At 38.3% G+C, this 20,476-nt stretch overlaps 1 long non-coding RNA gene across 1 annotated transcript; it reads right to left on the bottom strand.

Annotated features, from left to right (window-relative positions):
- Positions 1–11,378: 11,378 nt before the first annotated feature.
- Positions 11,379–19,630, bottom strand: LOC107984013 (uncharacterized). Its single transcript, XR_001752129.2, has 4 exons — positions 19,242–19,630; positions 18,935–19,104; positions 18,083–18,171; positions 11,379–11,512 (listed from the first exon to the last, which is right to left on the bottom strand). It is a non-coding gene; the product is annotated as an uncharacterized LOC107984013 (long non-coding RNA).
- Between the last annotated feature and the right edge of the window lie 846 nt (positions 19,631–20,476).

The raw sequence follows: 20,476 nt of genomic DNA, 5'->3' as shown, positions 1-20,476 counted from the left end.
GTGAAATGATGAAATGAAATGATGAAATGATGAAGTGAAATGATGACATGAAATGATGAAATGAAATAATGAAAGGATGAAATGATGAGATGAAATGATGAAAGGAAATGAAATGAAATGATGAAATGAGGAAATGAAATGAAATGATGAAGTGAAATGATGAAATAATGAAACTAAATGAAAAGATGAAATGATGAAATGAAATGATGAAATGATATGAAATGATGAAATAAAGTGAAATGATGAAATGATGAAATGAAATTAAAAGAAATGATAAAATGAAATGATGAAATTATATGAAATAATGAAATGATGAAGTGAAGTGAAATGATGAAATGATGAAATGATGAAATAATGAAATGAAATGAAATGAAATGATAAATTGATGAATTGATAAAATGAAATGAAATGAAATGACGAGATGAAAAGATGAAATGAAATGATGAAATGAAATGACGAGATGAAAAGATGAAATGATGAGATGAAATGAAATGACTAGATGAAATCATGAGATGAAATGGTGTAATGATGAGATGAAGTGAAATGATGAGATGAAATGAAATCATGAGATGAAATGATGAAATGATGAAATGAATGAAATGAAATGAGATGAAATGATGAGATGAAATGATGAGATGAAATGATGAAATGAAAGGAAATGATGAAATGATGAAACAAAATGAAATGAAGAAATGAAATGATGAAATGAAATGATAAAATGATGAAATGAGATGAAATGTAATGGTGAAATGAGGAAATGAAATGAAATGATGAGATGAAATGAAATGAAATGATGAAATGATGAAATGGAATGATGAAATGATGAAGTGATGAAATGGTGCAATGAAATGAGGAAATGAAATGAAATGAAGAAATGAAATGATGAAGTGAAATGATGAAATGAAATGAAATGATGAAATGATGAAATGAAATGAAAAGATGAAATGAAATGAAGAAATGATACGAAATGATGAAATGAAATGAAGTGAAATGAAATGATGAAATGATGAAATGAAATGATGAGATGAAAAGATAAAATGAAATAAAATGATTAAGTGAAATGACGAGATGAAAAGATGAAATGAAATGATATGAAATGAAATGATGAGATGAAATGAAATCATGAGATAAAATGATGAAATGATGAGATGAAGTGAAATGATGAAATGAAATGATGAGATGAAATGATGAGATGAAATAATGAAATGAAAGAATGAAATGAAAGGATGAAATGATGAGATGAAATGAAAGGATGAAATGAAATGATGAAATGAGGAAATGAAATGATGAAACGAAATGATGAAGTGGAATGATGAAATTATGAAATGAAATTAAAAGATGAAATGATGAAATGATATGAAATGAAATGAAATGATGAAATGAAGTGAAATGATGAAATTAAATGATGAAATGAAATGATGAAATAAATGAACTGAAATGATGATGAAATGAAATGATGAAATGAACTGACGAGATGAAAAGATGAACTGAAATGAAATGATCAAATGACGAGATGAAAACATGAAATGATGGGATGTAATGAAATGATGAGATGAAATAATGAGATGAAATGATGAGATGAAGTGAAATGGTGAGATGAAATCATGAGATGAAATGATGAAATGATGAAATGCAATGATGAAATGAAAGAATGAAATGAAATGATGAAATGATGAAATGACATGAAAAGATGAAATGATGAAATGAAATGATATGAAATGATGAAATAAAGTGAAATGATGAAATGAAATTAAAAGAAATGATAAAATGAAATGATGAAATTATATGAAATGATGAAATGAAGTGAAATGACGAAATGATGAAATAATGAAATGAAATGATGAAATGATGAATTGATGAAATGATGAAATGAAGTGTAATGACGAGATGAAAAGAAACGGTGAAATGAAATGACGAGATGAAAAGATGAAATGATGAGATGAAATGAAATGACTAGATGAAATGAAATCATGAGATGAAATGGTGTAATGATGAGATGAAGTGAAATGATGAGATGAAATGAAATCATGAGATGAAATGAAATGAATGAAATGAAATGATGAGATGAAATGATGAGATGAAATGATGAAATGAAATGAAATGATGAAGTGGAATGATGAAGTGGAATGATGAAGTGGAATGATGAAATTATGAAATGAAAAAAGATGAAATGATGAAATGAAATGATGAAATTATATGAAATGATGAAATGAAGTGAAATGATGAAATTAAATGATGAAACGAAATGATGAAATAAATGAACTGAAATGATGAATTGATGAAATGAAATGATGAAATGATGAGATGAAAATATGAAATGATGAAATGAAATGACAAGATGAAAAGATGAAATGATGAGATGCAATGAAATCATGAGATGAAATGAAATGAAGTGAAATGATGAGATGAAATGAAATCATGAGATGAAATGATGAAATGATGCAATGAAAGAATGAAATGAAATGATGAAATGAGATGAAATGAAATAATGAGATGAAATGATGAAATGAAATGATGAAATGATGAAATTAAAGGATGAAATGAAATGGCATGATGAAATGAAATGATGAAATGATGATGAAATGAAATGAAATGATGAAATAGATGAACCAAAAATACTTATTGATTTTTTTCTTGGCATCCTTCTAAGAGTATTTTAGTGAGTTTAATTTCTAAAAATAAATTGCTATTCAAAGGCTATACAGATGGCCTTTGCACCACAAGGGTTTGAACTGTGCAGGTCCACTTAGCAAAACCAAGAATTCTACATCCTTCTCCACACCCTGCCCATGAAAAGGATGAGGATGAAGACCTGTTTGATCATCTACTTCCATTTAATAACGAGTAAGTATATTTTCCTTATGATTTTCTTTTTCTTTTCTCTGGCATGTTTGTTAAGAATACAGTATATAAGACATATAACATATTAAATATGTGTTAATTGGCTGCTTGTGTTATTTGCAAGGCTTAGTATAGGCTATTAGTAGTTATTTTGGGGGGAGTCAAAGTTATAGTGGATTTTCTACTGTGCAGGGGGGCCAGCACCTCAACCTCCGTGTTGCTTAAGGGTCAGCTGTACATGTTATTACCTTTCCTGTAAGAGAAAAATGATGAGAAGGTATTTTCTCCAATAAGTGTACTCAAAATGTAGCAGACTTGAAATGTGTTGGCGCCACCATTTTGCATCTCACTTTGAAAACTTATTATTAAAAATCGTACTAAACCCTACCTTACTTTTCCAACCTTAGAAAAAATGTTACAAAGAAAAGGGGTGAAACCATGCTAGTTTGCACTGAAATTTGAAATTATCTTTTAAAAATATATTTTTACTTTAATTACTTCCAAAATAGAGATCAGTTGCATATAAATGGCAGGTCACCTTCATCCACCCTATGACTGCACTTAGATTCATGAGGAATTGTGCCATGTACAAAGGGCAGAGAAGAGGAATAGAGTGCTCTGCGTCTTGAAATATAAACATGCACATAGCCACATGCTTTGATTCTGTTGTCACTGTGTGCCTACTACTAGGAAGAGGGCATGTTTGTGTATTTTTATGCCAATTATTATCCAAGTTGTTAATGATTTAGGCTTTCAGAACCATATAAAAATTTTTTTCCTTTCAGATATAGGCTATCTTGCATTGTTCTTCTGATCATATGAGGGATAAATTTGCCTAAATATTCTTCAGACCATAGTATTATGTCCACATAAATGCCAGTAGCAAGAGTAGAATCAACCACAACTGCCTTTGTAATTATTTAAAGCATGTGTGCCTATAAGTAATTGGCATTTTATATAATCAAGAATCTTTGATATAATAATCTCTCAAGCATTTGAAACATGGCTCACATATATTAATTTTATATGCAAATATATATATAATAGCATTGTATATGAAACAAAATTTTGGACTTTACAACAGTTTCTTAGAATCTTGACTTAAATGTCTACAGTAATATTTCACTTAAAAAAATTTAGCACACTGTCACCATGATAAAAAAATTACTATAAAATTATTTTAAATTTTTTTCCACCCTAACATTTAGAATATTCTCACAATTGTGGTTAAAACCTATCGTGATTGCTCTTAGAATTTAGATAAAAAATGTTCCAGAAAGTTTGAAGAGAAGCACTTTAGTCAATTTTTAGTTGTTCAAGCATGAAGAAACGGCATTTCATTGACTTTTTAAAAACCATTCAGATTCTCTCTTTGAATTCAAGTGTTTCAAGGATATTTTATTTTAAAATACCAAAATAGGAATAGAATATGAAGGGCTGGTTATGAGAAATATAATACACTTTTATGAGAGGATGAGATTACAATAACAGATGGCAGCATCTGCTCATTGGAAGGCAAAGGGGAAACTGGCACTTCACATGGCTGGAGCATGAGGGGTGGGGGCAGATGCTACACACTTTAAAACATGATCTCATGATAACTTGCTATTGCCATGAAAACACCAAGGGGGATGGTGTTAAACCATGAGAAACTGTCCCCACGACCCAATCGCCTCCCACGAGGCCCCATCTTCAACATTGGGGATTACAATTGAACATGAGATCTGGGTAGAGACAGAGATCCAAACCATATGACTCTGTGAGCATTAAATATATGCAGAAAAAAGAATCTGACAGATTCAACATCTATTAGTGATGAAAACTCTCAACAAATTAGGTATATAAAGAATGTGCAACTACACAATAAAAGCCACATATGACAGAGTCACAGCTAGCATCATAATCAACAGAGAAAGAAGATCCAGAACAAGACAAGGATGCCCTCTCACCACTTCTATTCAGTATAGTACTGGAGGTCTTAGAACAGTTAGGCAACAGAAACAAAAGGCATCCAAATTGGAAAGAAAAACGTTGAGTTGTTCATTTGCAGATGACATGATTTTTTTTTCTTGAGACAGTCTCTGCCACCCAGACTGGAATGCAGTGGCATGATCACGGCTAACTGCAGCCCACACCTCCCTGCCTCAAGTGATCCTCCTGCCTCAGCCTCCTGAGTAGTTGGAACTACAGGCATATGCCATGACACATGGCTTTTATTTATTTATTTTTTTTTTGAGACGTGATGTATGTTGCCCAGGCTGGTCTCAGACTCCCAAGCTCAAGCTCCATGAGACTGATCTGGGCAATGATATTTTGGATTTTACCCTAAAAGCACACACAACAAAAGCAAAAATAGACAAATGATATTACAGCAAACTAAGAAGCTTCTGCACAGCAAAGGATACAATGAACAGAGTGGAGAAAACCTACAGAATGGGAGAAAATATCTGCAAACCACACATCTGATAAGAAGCTACTATCCAAAAAATATAAAGAATTCAAACAACTCAATAGCAAGAAACAAAGAAATTTGAGGCCAGGCGCGGTGGCTCAGACCTGTAATCTCAGCATTTGGGAGGCCGAGGCAGGTGAATCATGAGGTCAACAGATCGAGACCATACTGGCCAACATAGTGAAATCCCTTCTCTACTAAAAACACAAAAATTAGCTGGGCATGGGGGCGCACACCTGTAGTCCCAGCTACTTTGGAGGCTGAAGCAGAAGAATCGCTTGAACCCTGGAGGCAGAGGTCACCGTGAGCCAAGATACACCACTGCACTCCAGCCTGGCAACAGAGACTCCGTCTCACCAAAAAAAAAAAAAAAAAAAAAAAAAAAAAAGGAAAATGGGCAAAGGACTTGAATAGTCATTTCTCAAAAGAAGACATACAAATGATCAACTGGAGTCTGAAAAAATGCTCAAATCACTAATCAGGGAAATGCAAATCAAAACCACAAGATATTTCCTCACACATTTAAGAATGGCTATTACCAAAAGCAAGAGATAAGTGTTGGTGATGCTGTGGCGTAAAGGGCAGCTTGTACGTTTTTGGGATTCTGATTAGTATAGCCATTATGGAATCAGTATGGAGGTTCCTCAGAAAATTAAAAATAGAACTACCACATGATCCAGCAATTTAATTCTGGGTATATATCCAAAAGAAGTGAAATTGGCACTCCCAAGTTCATTTCACTATTATTCACGATAGCCAAGATATGGAGTCAACCTAAGTGCCCATCAACAGATGAATGGATTAAAAATGTGGTAAATATACAGAAAGGAGTACTATTCAGCCATAGAATGAGGGAAATCCTGTCATTCGTGACAACAGGGATGAACCTGCAGGCCGTTATGCTAAGTGAAATAAGCCAGACGCACAAATACCACATATTCTCACTTATATGTGGAAGCTAAAATGATAGAACTTAAACAGAGAGTAGAATCATGGTGACCAGAGGCTGGGGTGGTTGAGATCTGGGAAGGCTGCATATATGTTAATCAAAGGATATAAAATTTCAGTCAGAAGGAATAAATTCAGTAGATCTAACCTACTACATGGTGAATTACACTTAATAACTTATTGTACTGTTGAGAAATGCTAAGAGAGTAGGTGTTAAGTGTTTTAACCACAAAAGTGATCAAAATATGTGATAATACATATGTTAATTAGCTGGATTTAGTCATTCCACAATGTATATATACTTCAAAACATCATGTTCTACATGGTAAATACATACAATTTTAATCTTCTTTTGCATTAGAAAGAAAGGAGTATTTCCTCATTTTTCTTCCCAGCCTACTGAAAGATGGGATGGGTAATAATCTGAGTTGTAAAAAAAAAGCTCCATTATATAGATAGGGCACCAAATGTTTGCTTTGCCTTTCCTCTCAGCCCTGGCCCATAGGAAGCCAGTTAGTAACAGTGTCTATCTGCAGTTCCTGATGTAGGGAGATTAAAATATTTCAGTCTTTCAAGTTTCATCGGAATTCATTTTCTAAATTTTAGCTGAGGTTGAAATTCTTCCACAAAGATTAAAGACCCTAAAGAAATCAAGCCCCATGATTTTATTTTACACAATGTAACATTTTGATGAAATTTCCTATATAATAAATGTCATAGTATATGGGTAGGTGATTGGATGGTTTCAATTATCACTATTAACTGTTGTTCATCAAGTCCTACTAATATTTCCCTTATGTTTAATGCATTTAAAGAAAAATAACTTTGTTCTGAGCAGAAGACAGCTTTGCTTCACTACTTAAAATTAAGCTGCATCATTGTTACCTATATAGATTTTGTTCACTGTGTTCAGGCATAGTATCATATAAAATTATATTTGAGCCATTATATAAAATAAGACATTATTGTTCATCTAATAGCAAATCTCAATTAGTCCAAGAAAATAACAGAAACATATTGTTGGATTATATATATCTTCTAGAAAATGCTTATACCACAATATTCTGAATGAGCTAAAATAATAGATACATAACTCTATACAATGTCCAGATAATCTTGTTTTGACTTCCTAATTTATTTGCTTTCATATTCCTTGAATTTATTGCTCTTTAAATATACCCTGGAATAACTACAGTACATTTCATTTTCATTTTGAAAGAGGAACTTATACTTTTTGTGCTATAAAATCCAGTAACATCCAATTTCCAAGCTATGGCATTTATATGAGTAATTTTTGATATTTAATCAGATTTGACATTTAAGAGTTTCTTAATTTTATGAGCATGGAAGTGACAGAAATCATTTGTATTAATTCTGATATTAAGTTCTTACAGATATTCCTTCAATGTTATTAAATCTAAAAAGTGCTTATTTAAAAATCTGAGACTATGTGCAAAAATAGCTAAAATCTCTTATACAGTTATTAATATTTTATTAAACAATGGTATGTTTGAAATAATACTGTAATACATTATTTCACTGTATACATTAAAATTTAAGTGTATTTATTTGTCTTTTTTCTGCTATAGAACTTAACTGCAAGAAAAAATATTTGCTTTCTTTTTTAAGTTCTGGAAATGCTTTAATTGGACCTTTAATGTTAAATATCCATTTCAGTGAACAGCGTCCATAGTACTGGACATAATATACATTTTTAAAAACTTACTTTTTAAAAATTTAACTTTTAAGTTCAGGGGTATATGATGTGCAGCTTTGTTATATAGGTAAATTGTGTCATGGGGGTTTGTTGTACAGATTATTTCATCACCCAGGTATTAAGCCTAGTGCCCATTAGTTATTTTTCCTGATCCTCTTCCTCCTCTCACCCTTCACCCTCTGATAAATTATTCCAGTTTTATAAAGGATAAAACTTATCTGGTTTAAAAATTTTGTGTTCAAGAGTTGTTTAGGACTTGTGTGCCTAACACAAGTAGTTATTTGTAGCGGGATTTTTAAGGAATCAGAGAGAACAGTGGGGTTCAGGAGGATATTTATTAATTATTTAGGTGCACTGGCCCAGTCATATAAATATTCAAAGGACTGGGATTACAGATTTGAGCCACTGCGCCTGGCCCCAAACTTTTTAATTATGTAAGTTTTATGCTCTGTACAGTTCCTCCTGTCTCCACTTAATTTTACCTACTTAGCCAAATGCCCAGTAGTCATTTTATCCTTTGAAAGTTTCAGATAATTGCTCACCTTCTTCCAATTATTTTTTGTTCATTAATTTTTTTCACAGGGTCTTTAAGTATGTATGTGGCTCTGTACTTAATACTTCAGCTCCTCAATCAACAAACTGTTCTCCAGTTCTTTTCCCTGTGACAAAATGCATGAGACTGAAAGGTGCCCAATTCTCCCATAGACCGGATGTATACAGCTTCCTTGAATAAACAGAGAAATTGATTCTGCTAGTCTTAAAGAAAGTTACATTTGTTTCATTTGATTTCCTTGAAACTTACCAGCCCAGGGCCTGACAATGAGAAGCCAGCCCCTCAGCCCCTATGATTGCCTAAGGCAACACCTGCTGCCTGGTGACCAACTCCTCTTCCTCACCCCTTCCCAATTCCTGTTTTTCCACACATGGTTACATTTCTTCCTGGCTAGCCCTGCAGGACCCCCAGCCTATCCACTAACCTGGATGTTGAGAAAGGCTCTCTTGGCCCCCTTCCCTGCCCAGCTCTTTCTGTCCTCCTGCCTCTGCCCTGCCCCCACCCCTTCCACAGAGGCCCAGCTCCACAGGGCCTGGGCCTGTGAAAAATCGCGGGGGCGGGGGGTGGTGCGCTCTGCCAGGGGAACCTGGGGAGGTGGGGCGGTTCTCCAAGTCCCCTTGGTCGCACCCCCGGCCGTTCCCGACCTTGCATTCCCACGCAGTTTCCCTGCCTTCTCTGTGCAGCCAAAAGGGACAAATGCACAAACTGCAAGCTGGCACACCAGGTGAAAGGAGCGGCTGCGCCTGCAGAGGTTCTGGGACCCAGGCTACTGGTGGCCTTTCCTGCACCAGGTTCCGATCTTACCCGCGTCCTGTACCCTACTCCTGCTGGCACCCCGCTCCTACCAATGCCCTGCCCTGCCCTGCCATCACCCTTCACCTACCCACTGCCCAGTCCTAACCGCACCCCACCCCGCCAGCACCCTGCTCCTACCCACACCTGGCCCTGCCAGCACCGCATCCTACCCGCGCCCCGCCCTGCAATCACCCTGCCCTTACCGCACCCCGTCCTACCCTCCCATGCCCCTCCAGCACCCCGATCCTACCCGCACGCTGCGCCTACCCACGCTTCCCCCCGCCAGGACCCTGCCCTGCCCCGTCAGCATCCTGGCTCAACCTGCACCCCGCTTCTACCTGCGCCCTGCGCCACCAGCACCCTGCTCCTACCCGCACTCTGCCCCTTCCTGGACCTGGCCCAGCTGTCACCCTGCTCCTACCACACCCTGTTCCTACCTGCATCCAGCCCCGCAGCACCTAGCTCCTACCTGGACATTTCTCCTACTGTGTCCAGAATTGGTGGGTTCTTGGTCTGGCCGACTTCAAGAATGAAACCACGGATGCTCATGGTGAGTGTTACAGTTCTTAAAGGTGGAGCAGACCCAAAGAGTGAGCAGCAGCAAAATTTATTAGAGTAACATGTAATTTTTAAAAGTAGTTTTAGACAAATCAAGACAATTTCATTTATGGCACATAAAATTCCATAATCTTGTGCATAACACTTTACAATGAGAACTTTTGTTAACCAGGACACATTATTTTCTATGTTCATTCTTTTGACACGTAGATTTATGTTTCCCTCCTAGACTTTCTTGTAAAAATGCCTGTTTTTGATTCCTCAGAGTACAGATAAAAAGGAAGGCTTGATCAGGATATGGTGGATCTGAAGATTCAAAGAAGTGCCATGGCTCAAAAGTAGACATTTTGGTAAATGTGAAGAAGTGAGATTCAATGAAGATGATAAGAAATGAAAGGTGTTACCAAAAGTGGGTATGTGTAGCTATGCTTGTCACACAAAATAGGCTTTAAGTCAAAAAAGCACAAAAATAGAAAATAAAGGTCATTATAAAATGATAAAGGGATCAATTCAGTAAGAAGGTAGAACAGTTGTCAATGTAAACACACCTGACACAGGAGCCCCAGTTATTAAAGTAAGAGTTATTCGAGCAACAGAGTCAGACAATAATAGCTGGGGACTTCAACACCCACTTTCAGCAACAGACACACCTTCCAGGCAGAAAAGCAACAAAGATCAGACTTACACTCCAGTATAAATCAAAGAAACCTGATAGGTAATTACAGAATATTTCACCCACCAACTGCAGAACGTGCTCACAAAATCAGCTCACAAAATATTCTCCAGGATAGACCACATTTTAGGACACAAAACAAACAAATCTCAAAAGAGCATTTAAAAAATGAAAATCATAGCAAGTATCTTCTCAGACCAAAATGGCATAAAATTAAAAGTCAATAACGAGAAATGTTGGAAACTCTCCAAGTACATGGTATATAAATAATGGTAATGGTCAGTGAAGAAATCAAAAAGGAAAGTAACAAAAACATTTCTTGGAAAAAAAAAGGAAACAAAAGAGAAAAAAATACATATAGTAGGTGTTTTTGAAGTAAAAAATGCAGAACAATAAAAAAGTTAAAAGATACAATAAAATAAACTTTTTCTGAACTAAAAATTGATTTGAATAGTTTCATTGGTAACAAAATGACTGGCAGGGAAAGGTGATGTCCCTGAATAGATAGGATTTTTTTTTTTTTTTTGAAGGAGTCTTACTCTGTCGCCCAAGCAATTCTCCTACCTCAGCCTCCCGAGTAGCTGGGATTACAGCCATGCGCCACCATGCCCAGCTAATTTTTTTTTTATCTTTAGTAGAGATGGGGTTTCACCATGTTGGCCAGGCTGGTCTCAAACTCCTGACCTCAGGTCATCCACCCACCTCGGCCTCCCAAAGTGCTGGGATTATAGGCCTGAGCCACCATGCCCAGACAATTAGATAGGCTTTTAAAGTCACAGCAGAAGAAGCAGGAATGTTTGTAACCAGTGGCCAAACAGTATTAAACTCCTGGGTTGTTTTGGGAGGACTCACTACAACTACAGCCCAACTACATTTATTATGCCAGATAACACAGTGCTGAGGGGACATACTGGAGTTGACAAGATCCCGTGGGGGCACAAGTGGCAATGGCTGTGCACCAGTGGCTGGATATTCCTGAAAAATGAAACAAAATTAAACTAGTGGTCATCCAAGAAGATGTAGAATTAACGTACTGAAAAGCATTGATGAACATGGTCCAGGTCAACAGGAAAGCTGCAGGAATCATGTACCTGTTCAGTGCCCATGCAGCCACTGACATCACTGGCTTCAGGGTTTGGGAACAGGTACAGAATGTGACCAGGCAGCAGAGGTACTCTGTTTTTAAGAGTGCTTTCACGGGCAGGCACGGTGGCTCACACCTGTAATCCCAGCACTATGGGAGGCCGAGGCAGGCAGATCACCAGAGGTTGGGAGTTCGAGACCAGTCTGACCAACATGGAGAAACTCCGCCTCTACTAAAAATACAGAAAATTAGCTGGACACGCTGGCGCATGCCTGTAATCCCAGCTACTTGGGAGGCTGAGGTAGGAGAAGAATCACTTGAACCCAGGAGGCGGTGGTTGCAGTGAGCCGAGATCGTGCCATTGCACTCCAGCCTGGGCAACAAGAGTGAAACTCTGTTTCAAAATAAATAATAAAATAAAATAAAAAGTGTTTTCACATATGACAGACATTACCAATAGCAGTTGGTGTCTTTTCATTTTATGTATGTTTATCGTATAAGTCTAATCTTTTTTTAGTATCTTGAATGGTTTTCTGGAAAGACAGCGTTGGTAAGTGGCACACGATGGTAACCCAGTTGTAAGAGGGTTGCAAGATTCTCTTTGATTTGAAAAGCCTAGTCTTGGACCGGGCGCGGTGGCTCACGCCTATAATCCCAGCACTTTGGAAGGTTGAAGTGGGTGGATCACGAGGTCAAGAGATCGAGACCATCCTGACCAACATGGTGAAACCTACTAAAAATACAAAAAATTAGCTGGGCATGGTGGCGCCTGCAGTCCCAGCATCTCGGGAGGCTGGGGCAGGAGAATCACTTGAACCTGGGAGGCAGAGGTTGCAGTGAGCTGAGATTGCACCACTGCACTCCAGCCTGGCAACAGTGAGACTCTGTTTAAAAAAAAAAAAAAAAAAAAAAAAAAAAATAGAAAAGCCTAATTTGTCACTCAAGAGCATTGCACACCCAGACACCCAGGACACTTTCCAGTACTGCATTCTGTTCAACACAGTAAGTGCTTCACTGCATAAAAAACACTTTGAAGACAAAAAGAAATCTTTTTTTGTAGCCTTCCTGATATTTACAGTAATACTATTAACTGTTTATTGACAGCAAAAATGAGATTGTTTTGCAATGCGATGTAATTAGGTATTTTTGTTTGTTTGTTTGTTTGTTTTTTAAGACTGAGTTTTACTCTTGTTGCCCAGGTCAGAGTGCAGTGGCACAATCTCAGCTCAATGCAACCTCTGCCTCCCCGGTTCAAGCGATTCTCCTGCCTCAGTCTCCCTAAGGAGCTGGGACTACAGGCGCCCACCACCACACCCAGCTAATTTTTTTGTATTTTTAGTAGGGATGGGTTTTTGCCATATTTGGCAGGCTGGTCTCCAACTCCTGACCTCAGGTGACCTGCCCATCTTGGCCTCCCAAAGTGCTGGAATTACAGGCATGAGCCACTGCGCCCGGCCAAAATTAGATGTTTCTTAGTGTAACAAGGAATTGCCCTCCAAAAGGAAGTTCATGTATTATGCTCATTTGCAATATATAATTAACTATGCAAATAATTTTTAAGTTTAGTCAATAACAAAGATTGTTCTGTATATGCTACTGTTTAATATCTTTTTTTTTTTTTTTTTTCCTGAGACAGAATCTCACCTGTTGCCCAGGCCAGAGTGCAATAGCATGATCTGGGCTCACTGCAACCTCTGCCTCCTGGGTTTGAGCCAATTCCTCTGCCTCAGCCTGCTGGGTAGCTGGGACTACAGGTGCACATCACCACACCCAGCTAATTTTTTATTTTTAGTAGAGACGGACTTTCACCATGTTGGCCAGGCTGGTCTTGACCTCCTGACCTCAAGTGATCCTCCTATCTTGGCCTCCCAAAGTGTGGAATTACAGGCGTGAGCCACTGTGCCTGGCCAATACATTTTGTAAAATTTTGTATATTGATTTCAGGCCTTTTATTTTCTTAAAAGCAGCAGCTATTTAGCCTAATTCTTAGCAGTGTTTTGTTCTCTGGGCCAGTAGTATTTTATACATGCTTTTTGTGATCCATGTTCAAAGTCTGAATTGCCAATGTTGCAGCTCAAATGTAAGCTTGTTATTCAAATAAATATTTAATTTTTGAACTTGCTCCTGTATGGCTGGGTGCAGTGGCTCATGCCTGTAATCCCAGCACTTTGGGAGGCTGAGGTGGGTGGATCACCTGAGGTCAGGAGTTCAAGACCAGCCTGGCCAACATGGTGAAACCTCGTCTCTACTAAAAATACAAATATTAGCTGGGCATGGTGGTGGGCGCCTGCAATCCCAACTACTTGGGAGTCTGAGGCACAAGAATCACTTGAACCTGGTTGGCAGAGTTTGCAGTGAGCTGAGATCGAGCCACCTCAAAAAAAAAAAAAATTGCTCCTGTATTACTAGATGCCCCTTTTAGTATTATTTTAGAAGCATTGGGAGGGTTTTGACTAAAGTGCAATTTACCGGAAAAGACTAGATTTTAGCTTTTTAGCTTTATGAAACTCTTAAATCTTTCATGGGACCTATATTTTCTTGAATTAAATTTTACAGTTCTAGGCTGGGCACAATGACTCATGCCCATAATCCCAGCACTTTGGGAGGCTGAGGTAGTTGGATTGTGTGAGGCCAGGAGTTCAAGGCCAGCCTGGCCAACATGGTGAAACCCCTGTCTCTACTAAAAATACAAAAATTAGCCGGGCAGTAGTGGTGTGTGCCTGTAATCCCAGCTACTTGGAAGGCTTAGGAAGGAGAATCACTTGAGCCTGGGAGGCGGAAGTTGCAGTGAGCCAAGATCTTGCCACTGAACTCCAGTATGGATGACAGAGTGAGACTCTGTTTCAAAACAAAACAACAACAACAAAAACTGTAGTTCTAGAATAAATAGGTGATCTAAAAAGGTGTTATCTGTGTTACTTAAAAACAGAGGCTTCCATATATATATATATATATATATATATACTTTTTATTATGAGATGGAGTTTCATTCTGTCACCCAGGCTGGAGTGCAGTGGCATGATCTCGGCTCACTGCAACCTCTGCCTTCTGGGTTCCAGTGATTCTCCCCCTCAGCCTCCTGAGTAGCTGGGACTACAGGCGTGTGCCACCACACCCCTAATTTTTGTATTTTTTGTTAGAGACGGGGTTTTACCATATTGGCCAGGCTGGTCTCAAACTCCTGACCTCAGGTGATCCATCCACCTCGGCGTCCCAAAATGTTGGGATTACTGGTGCTAGCCACCGCACCCTGCCGGCTTCCTTGTATTTTAACCCACTAAACAATGAGGAGGAATCCTTCTCATTAAGCGCAAGGGCACTAGATCCTTGGGTCCCTGACTTCCTAAGAGAAGCAGCATATCCTGAAAGTTTCTGACACTTCCCGCTCACAGGCACCAAAGCCTCATGTGTAAACGTATCCACTTCTTGCCAAAGGAACCCCCCCGCCGGGAAGATGAAGCTCCCTGGAAGAGGCTTCTTGGACATGACCATCTCCAGGAACCAGCGGGCAACCTTCATGTGTGTGTGACCAGACCTCCAGCTATAAGCATGGCATGCAGTACAGAAGAGCCTGCTATGAAACTGAAATTGATTGGACATTTTATAGGAATTGATAGAGATGATGGTCTTCAAAAGCTTTAAATCTGTGATCTGCAAAATAAAATGTGTTGGAAACCTCTGGCCAAAATTTTTTTTTCTTCTACTATATTTGGAATATTTTTCTTCCATTGTTAAGTACACATATGTATTGTACAAAATGTCCAGGAAAATGCCATACAATAATGAACAATGAGCTATACACATTTATTTATTTGAGATGAAATTACACGTTTATTTATTTGAGACAAAGTTTCACTCTTGTTGCCCAGGCCAGAGTGCGGTGGCATGATCTCAGTTCACTGCAACCTCTGCCTCCCAGGTTCAAACGATTCTCCTGTCTCAGCCTCCCACGTAGGTGGGATTACAGGTGCCAGCCATCACACCTGGCTAACTTTTTGTATTTTTAATAAAGACGGGGTTTCACCATGTTGGCCAGGCAAACTCCTGACCTCAGGTGATCCACCTGCCTCAGCCTCCCAAAGTGCTGAAATTACAGGCATGAGCCACTGCTCTGGGCCGGGATATACCTATTTAAAGTTGTTACCAAGCTTCAAGGATCAAAAAAAGATTCCTAAGGAGGGGACATCTGAGAAAAGAAGAAGTTGGGTTCAAATATATATTTTTCTCAGAATTTTCCATAGCAATGTTTAATGCTAGAAGAAATGGAATAATTTGACACATGTATATGCACACTGTATATATAACTAAGGACATATAAAATGGTCTGGAATTATAATGCGCAAGCCAATAGCATTAGTTACTTCTGAAAAATGTACTGGAATTGAAAAGAAGACATTGGTCTTTAAAATTTTAATTTTTAAAACAGAATATGAAATACATTAATAATTACCACCCCAACAATAATAACAATGCTGAAGAAACCTCTACCAAGTAATCAGGACAAGACCATGTGATCCAAACAGGTATGTTCAAGTTGTTTTTTAAGTAGAAGGAAGCAAACATCATTTTCAAATATACAAGGACAGACCCATCTCATGAAATAATTTTGATGAGCAAGAAATGCCTGGAGAAACCATGACTTTTAAAAAATTGATAGTAAGCAACCAATCCATTATAACATTGTTAGACGATTGTAAAAATGGTTATAGAATTACATGGTTTACAGAATTACATGCTGTAATTCCTCAAGGAGGAATATGGTGGGTAAGTTCTTATATATGTAACATAGATAAATGTGAATGATGTGTTAGAATTTAAATTATGCCAAAAGAAGTGTGTTTTTGATGGTGTTATCAGATTAGATTCTTACAGAAAGGTTGAAGGATCTTTCAGAAAGATTCCAACATGAAACAAACCAGAGAATAAGGTGATAGAAAGCCATTGTAGGTTCCTGGATGGTATGGCAGATTATATCCCTCTTAAGAAGCATTTCTTTTTCCCCTCCCCCACCTGCACGTACTACCCCATTTCATTAATGTTGGACTTGACCATGTGACTTTCTTTGCTCAGCGTAGCATTAGCAGAATTGGTTCTGCCATTACTGTGACAAGAATAACAGAAAGCTGACTACTGTTCCTCTTCTTTAGTTCCAAAAGTAAAAATAAAATGGGTGTTAAGAGACAGAATACAGCCAGGCGCAGTGGCTCACGCCTGTAACCCCAGCACTTTGGGAGGCTGAGGTGGGCGGATCATGAGGTCAGGATATCTAGACCATCCTGTCTAGCAGAGCGAAACCCCGTCTCTACTGAAAATACAAAAAATTAGCCGGGCACGGTGGCGGGCGCCTGTGGTCCCAGCTACTCTGGAGGCTGAGGCAGGAGAATGGCATGAACCCGGGACGTGGGGCATGCAAAAAAAAAAAAAAAAGAGAGAGAGAGACAGACAGACAGAATATAAGCCACAGACTAGGAGAAAATATTTGCAAAACACATATCTGATAAAGGGCTTAGATCTAAACTAGATAGAAAATTCTTAACAATTAAAAAACAATTTAAAAGTGAGAAAAATATCTGAATAGACATCTGAACAAAGAGAATACACAAGGGACAAATCAGCAAATGAAAATATTCTCAGCCAGGCAGGGTGGCTAGTGCCTTTAATCCCGGAATTTTGGGAGGCCAAGGCAGGCAGATCACCTGAGGTCAGGAGTTTGAGACCAGCCTGGCCAACATGGTGAAACCCTGTCTCTACTAAAAATATAAAAATTATCTGGGAGTGGTGGCATGCACCTGTAATTGCAGCTATTTGAGAGGCTGAGGCAGGAGAACTGCTTGAGCCCAGGAGGTGGAGGTTACAGTGAGCAGTGATCACACCATTGCACTCCAGCCCAGGCAACAGAGACTCCATCTCAAAAGAAATAAAAAACACAATTTTACAGTAAATACTAAATCTCGTTTATGACGGCCACCCCCCACCCCCAGTTAGGTGACCCATTTGGTATGGTTGGGAGATGTGACACTCAAGGCTGGTACATCAAAACCACTTCTGTGGTTTTTGCTAAAACCACGTGGTTGCTGATTGAGAAATGTACATCACTGAGAAGAATGGATGGACCGCATTTTCTCTGTGCAGCTATCAGTACACCTCTGTCTAAGCTGGCTTTTGAAAAATATGGAGTGGCTGTGAGTTTGAGGTGATAATACTACCCCCTCTCCAGCAGCTCCTGTGTTGTGGTGCACATATCAGGTGGTCTTTCTAGCCAGTGAAGATAGAATCCAGATTGGAATATATGTTAAACAAAGGCTGAATCAGGACATGTGCCAAGCTGAAAGACTTTTCCAGTTCTGTACAGCTGAGCCTCAACAGTGTCTGTTACGACAAAATTGTTCTCCAAACATTAATTTGTGGTCTGCTCCCATACACTACAAATAATGGACTATGTGTCCATCTTTGACACTTACTGTGTTCCACCAAGAGGGACACCTCCCAAAGCCAGAAAATATTTATTTCACACTGAAGTCCAAGTGGCCTCACAAATATTTTCCGGATCCTAACAAAGAAAATAATCTGAGTTGAAGATCCTGTATTCAATTATTTTGGCAAATATTTCTTTCATGTTTCCTTTGTCTAAACGACTGAGCTAGGTGCTGAGATGATGTTATTCCCATCCTTAGAGCTTGTGCTCCAGAGAAGAATATAGATAAGGAGAGGGACGTCACATTACCGTCTGCAGAAGGAGTGTGGGAAACCATGGAGTTAAAGGACTGCTATTTATGAGTAATCTGCAGAATGGAGGAAAGCTTCCCAGAAGAAGCCAGCCCGGGGGAGCTGTGGGCAAGCATTCCAAGCAAAAGCATTCACACTGATGTGGGCCAGACACTTCTTCTGTAAGGTCCTAAGAGCAGACTGAGCACACAGTTTGTATGTAACCAGGCAGTGGACAAGCCATGTGCAACTCAGAGGAGCGTTTTTTTTTTTTTTTTTTTTTTTTTTTGTAAAGGAGTTTCGCTCTTGTTGCCCAGGATGGAGTGCAAGGGATCTTGGCTCACCACAGCCTCCGCCTCCTGGGTTCAAGTGATTCTTCTGCCTCAGCCTCCCAAGTAGCTGGGATTATAAGCACCCACCACCACGCCCAGCTAATTTTGTATTTTTTAGAAGAGATGGAGTTTCTCCAGTTGGCCAGGATGGTCTGTATATCCTGACCTCATGATCTGCCCGCCGTGGCCTCCCAAAATACTGAGATTACAGGCGTGAGCCACCACACCTGGCCAAGATTGAAATCTTAATGAGAGAAAAGCAGTTTGGAAACTTACCTGTTTTTTATTCAAAGCCCATCCTCTCCTTCCTGTTCATGAATGGCAGGCATCCTGTGGTGACTAAAGAAGGTCCTACCAGCTAAGGGATTTCATCGGCCCAAGGAGCAGCTTCCACAGGAGCTCCAGCAGGTTCCTTGGAAAAGGTGACAGTGCTGGGCCATGGTGCCCTGTTCAGAAATACAAGACTCAGATTTAGTAAAGCCAGTAGTGTAATGTGAAATTTGTTTAAAAAATCCTTAACCAAAACATTTCATTTCATAAGACCGATGTATTCCATCAACAGTTTTTTACTGTATGTTCATACTTATGGCATTAAGAATCAGCGTGATTGGCCAGTGACGAGCATCTGGTTTGTCAGTTTTAGTGGCAAAGCTTTCCAGCATCTACAACTCTAGTCACCAAAATCAAGAATGTCTTTCTTTTCTCTTTTTACCTAATTACAAAAAAGGGACTGATTTATGAAAAGCAATATGTTAATAAATAACACAACTTATGTTCATATCATTACCACTTCTAGCCACAAATTAAGAGTCAAGATTAAGGAAAACTTACCTAAATTTTCCCAGGCTATTTTAAAATTGTTTTTTTCCTACAAAAATAAATGTTAAATTATTCTTTTGAGGTAGTCTGAATTAAGTTGTTGCTAATTGGAAAGGACTATTAGATCTTAAGGTGAACTGACAATTTTATAAAATAAATAGACTTCCTTTCTACTATTAGAAAGTTCTAATAATGAGTTCTATTATTATAATAATACTTCTCAACTCTCTTTTAAAATATTATTAATGTCTTGGCATTTTCAGACTTAATCTGAAAATGTTTTAAATATCGAAATAGACATATCCAAAGTTTACAACAAGGGTGTGCAATCATGATGGACACACTGCCTCAAACATGAGGGATCAACCCAACTCATACCCATCACACCCTCAGCATGTGGGAATGTTAAATTATACAGGAACCATGGCTGGAAACAAAAATCTGTAGGTGTCCCTGACATAAATTCCCATAGTACTTGCCTGCATCCTGGACACCCCCTCCAATATCCTTCAAATTATCTCTAGATTACTCACAATACCTAATACAATGGAAATGCTACTTAAATGGTTGTTACACTTTATTGCATAAAGAATAATGACAAGAAAAAAAGCTTGTACGTGTTCACTACAGATGCAAACATCCTTTTTTTTCTGGAATATTTTTGATCTGAGGTTGGTAGAAAGTGAGGATGCAGGACCCACAGATAAAGGGGACTGACTGTATTTAACACACACACACATATTTTCTTTTGCCTGAGTAAAAAACAAAATTGTACTCGTAACACAGCTGAAGGATGTCAAGAAAACTGTTCTTCCCATTCAACCTCAAATTGATAGAGATGAACTTCAAAATCCACATAGAACCTTTTATTTCCTTAATGCTCATTACATTTTAATCATTAGAACTAATAGTCAAATAAGTTGCCCTTACTAATAAATCCAAATTAAAACAACACAGAAATGACACTTTATTTCTTCAATAATTATTAGTGAACACCTA

Source organism: Homo sapiens, chromosome 16 (genome assembly GCF_000001405.40).
Source record: "Homo sapiens chromosome 16, GRCh38.p14 Primary Assembly".
In the NCBI taxonomy this organism is placed as follows: domain Eukaryota; kingdom Metazoa; phylum Chordata; class Mammalia; order Primates; family Hominidae; genus Homo; species Homo sapiens.
This window is presented reverse-complemented; position numbering and strand designations above follow the sequence as displayed.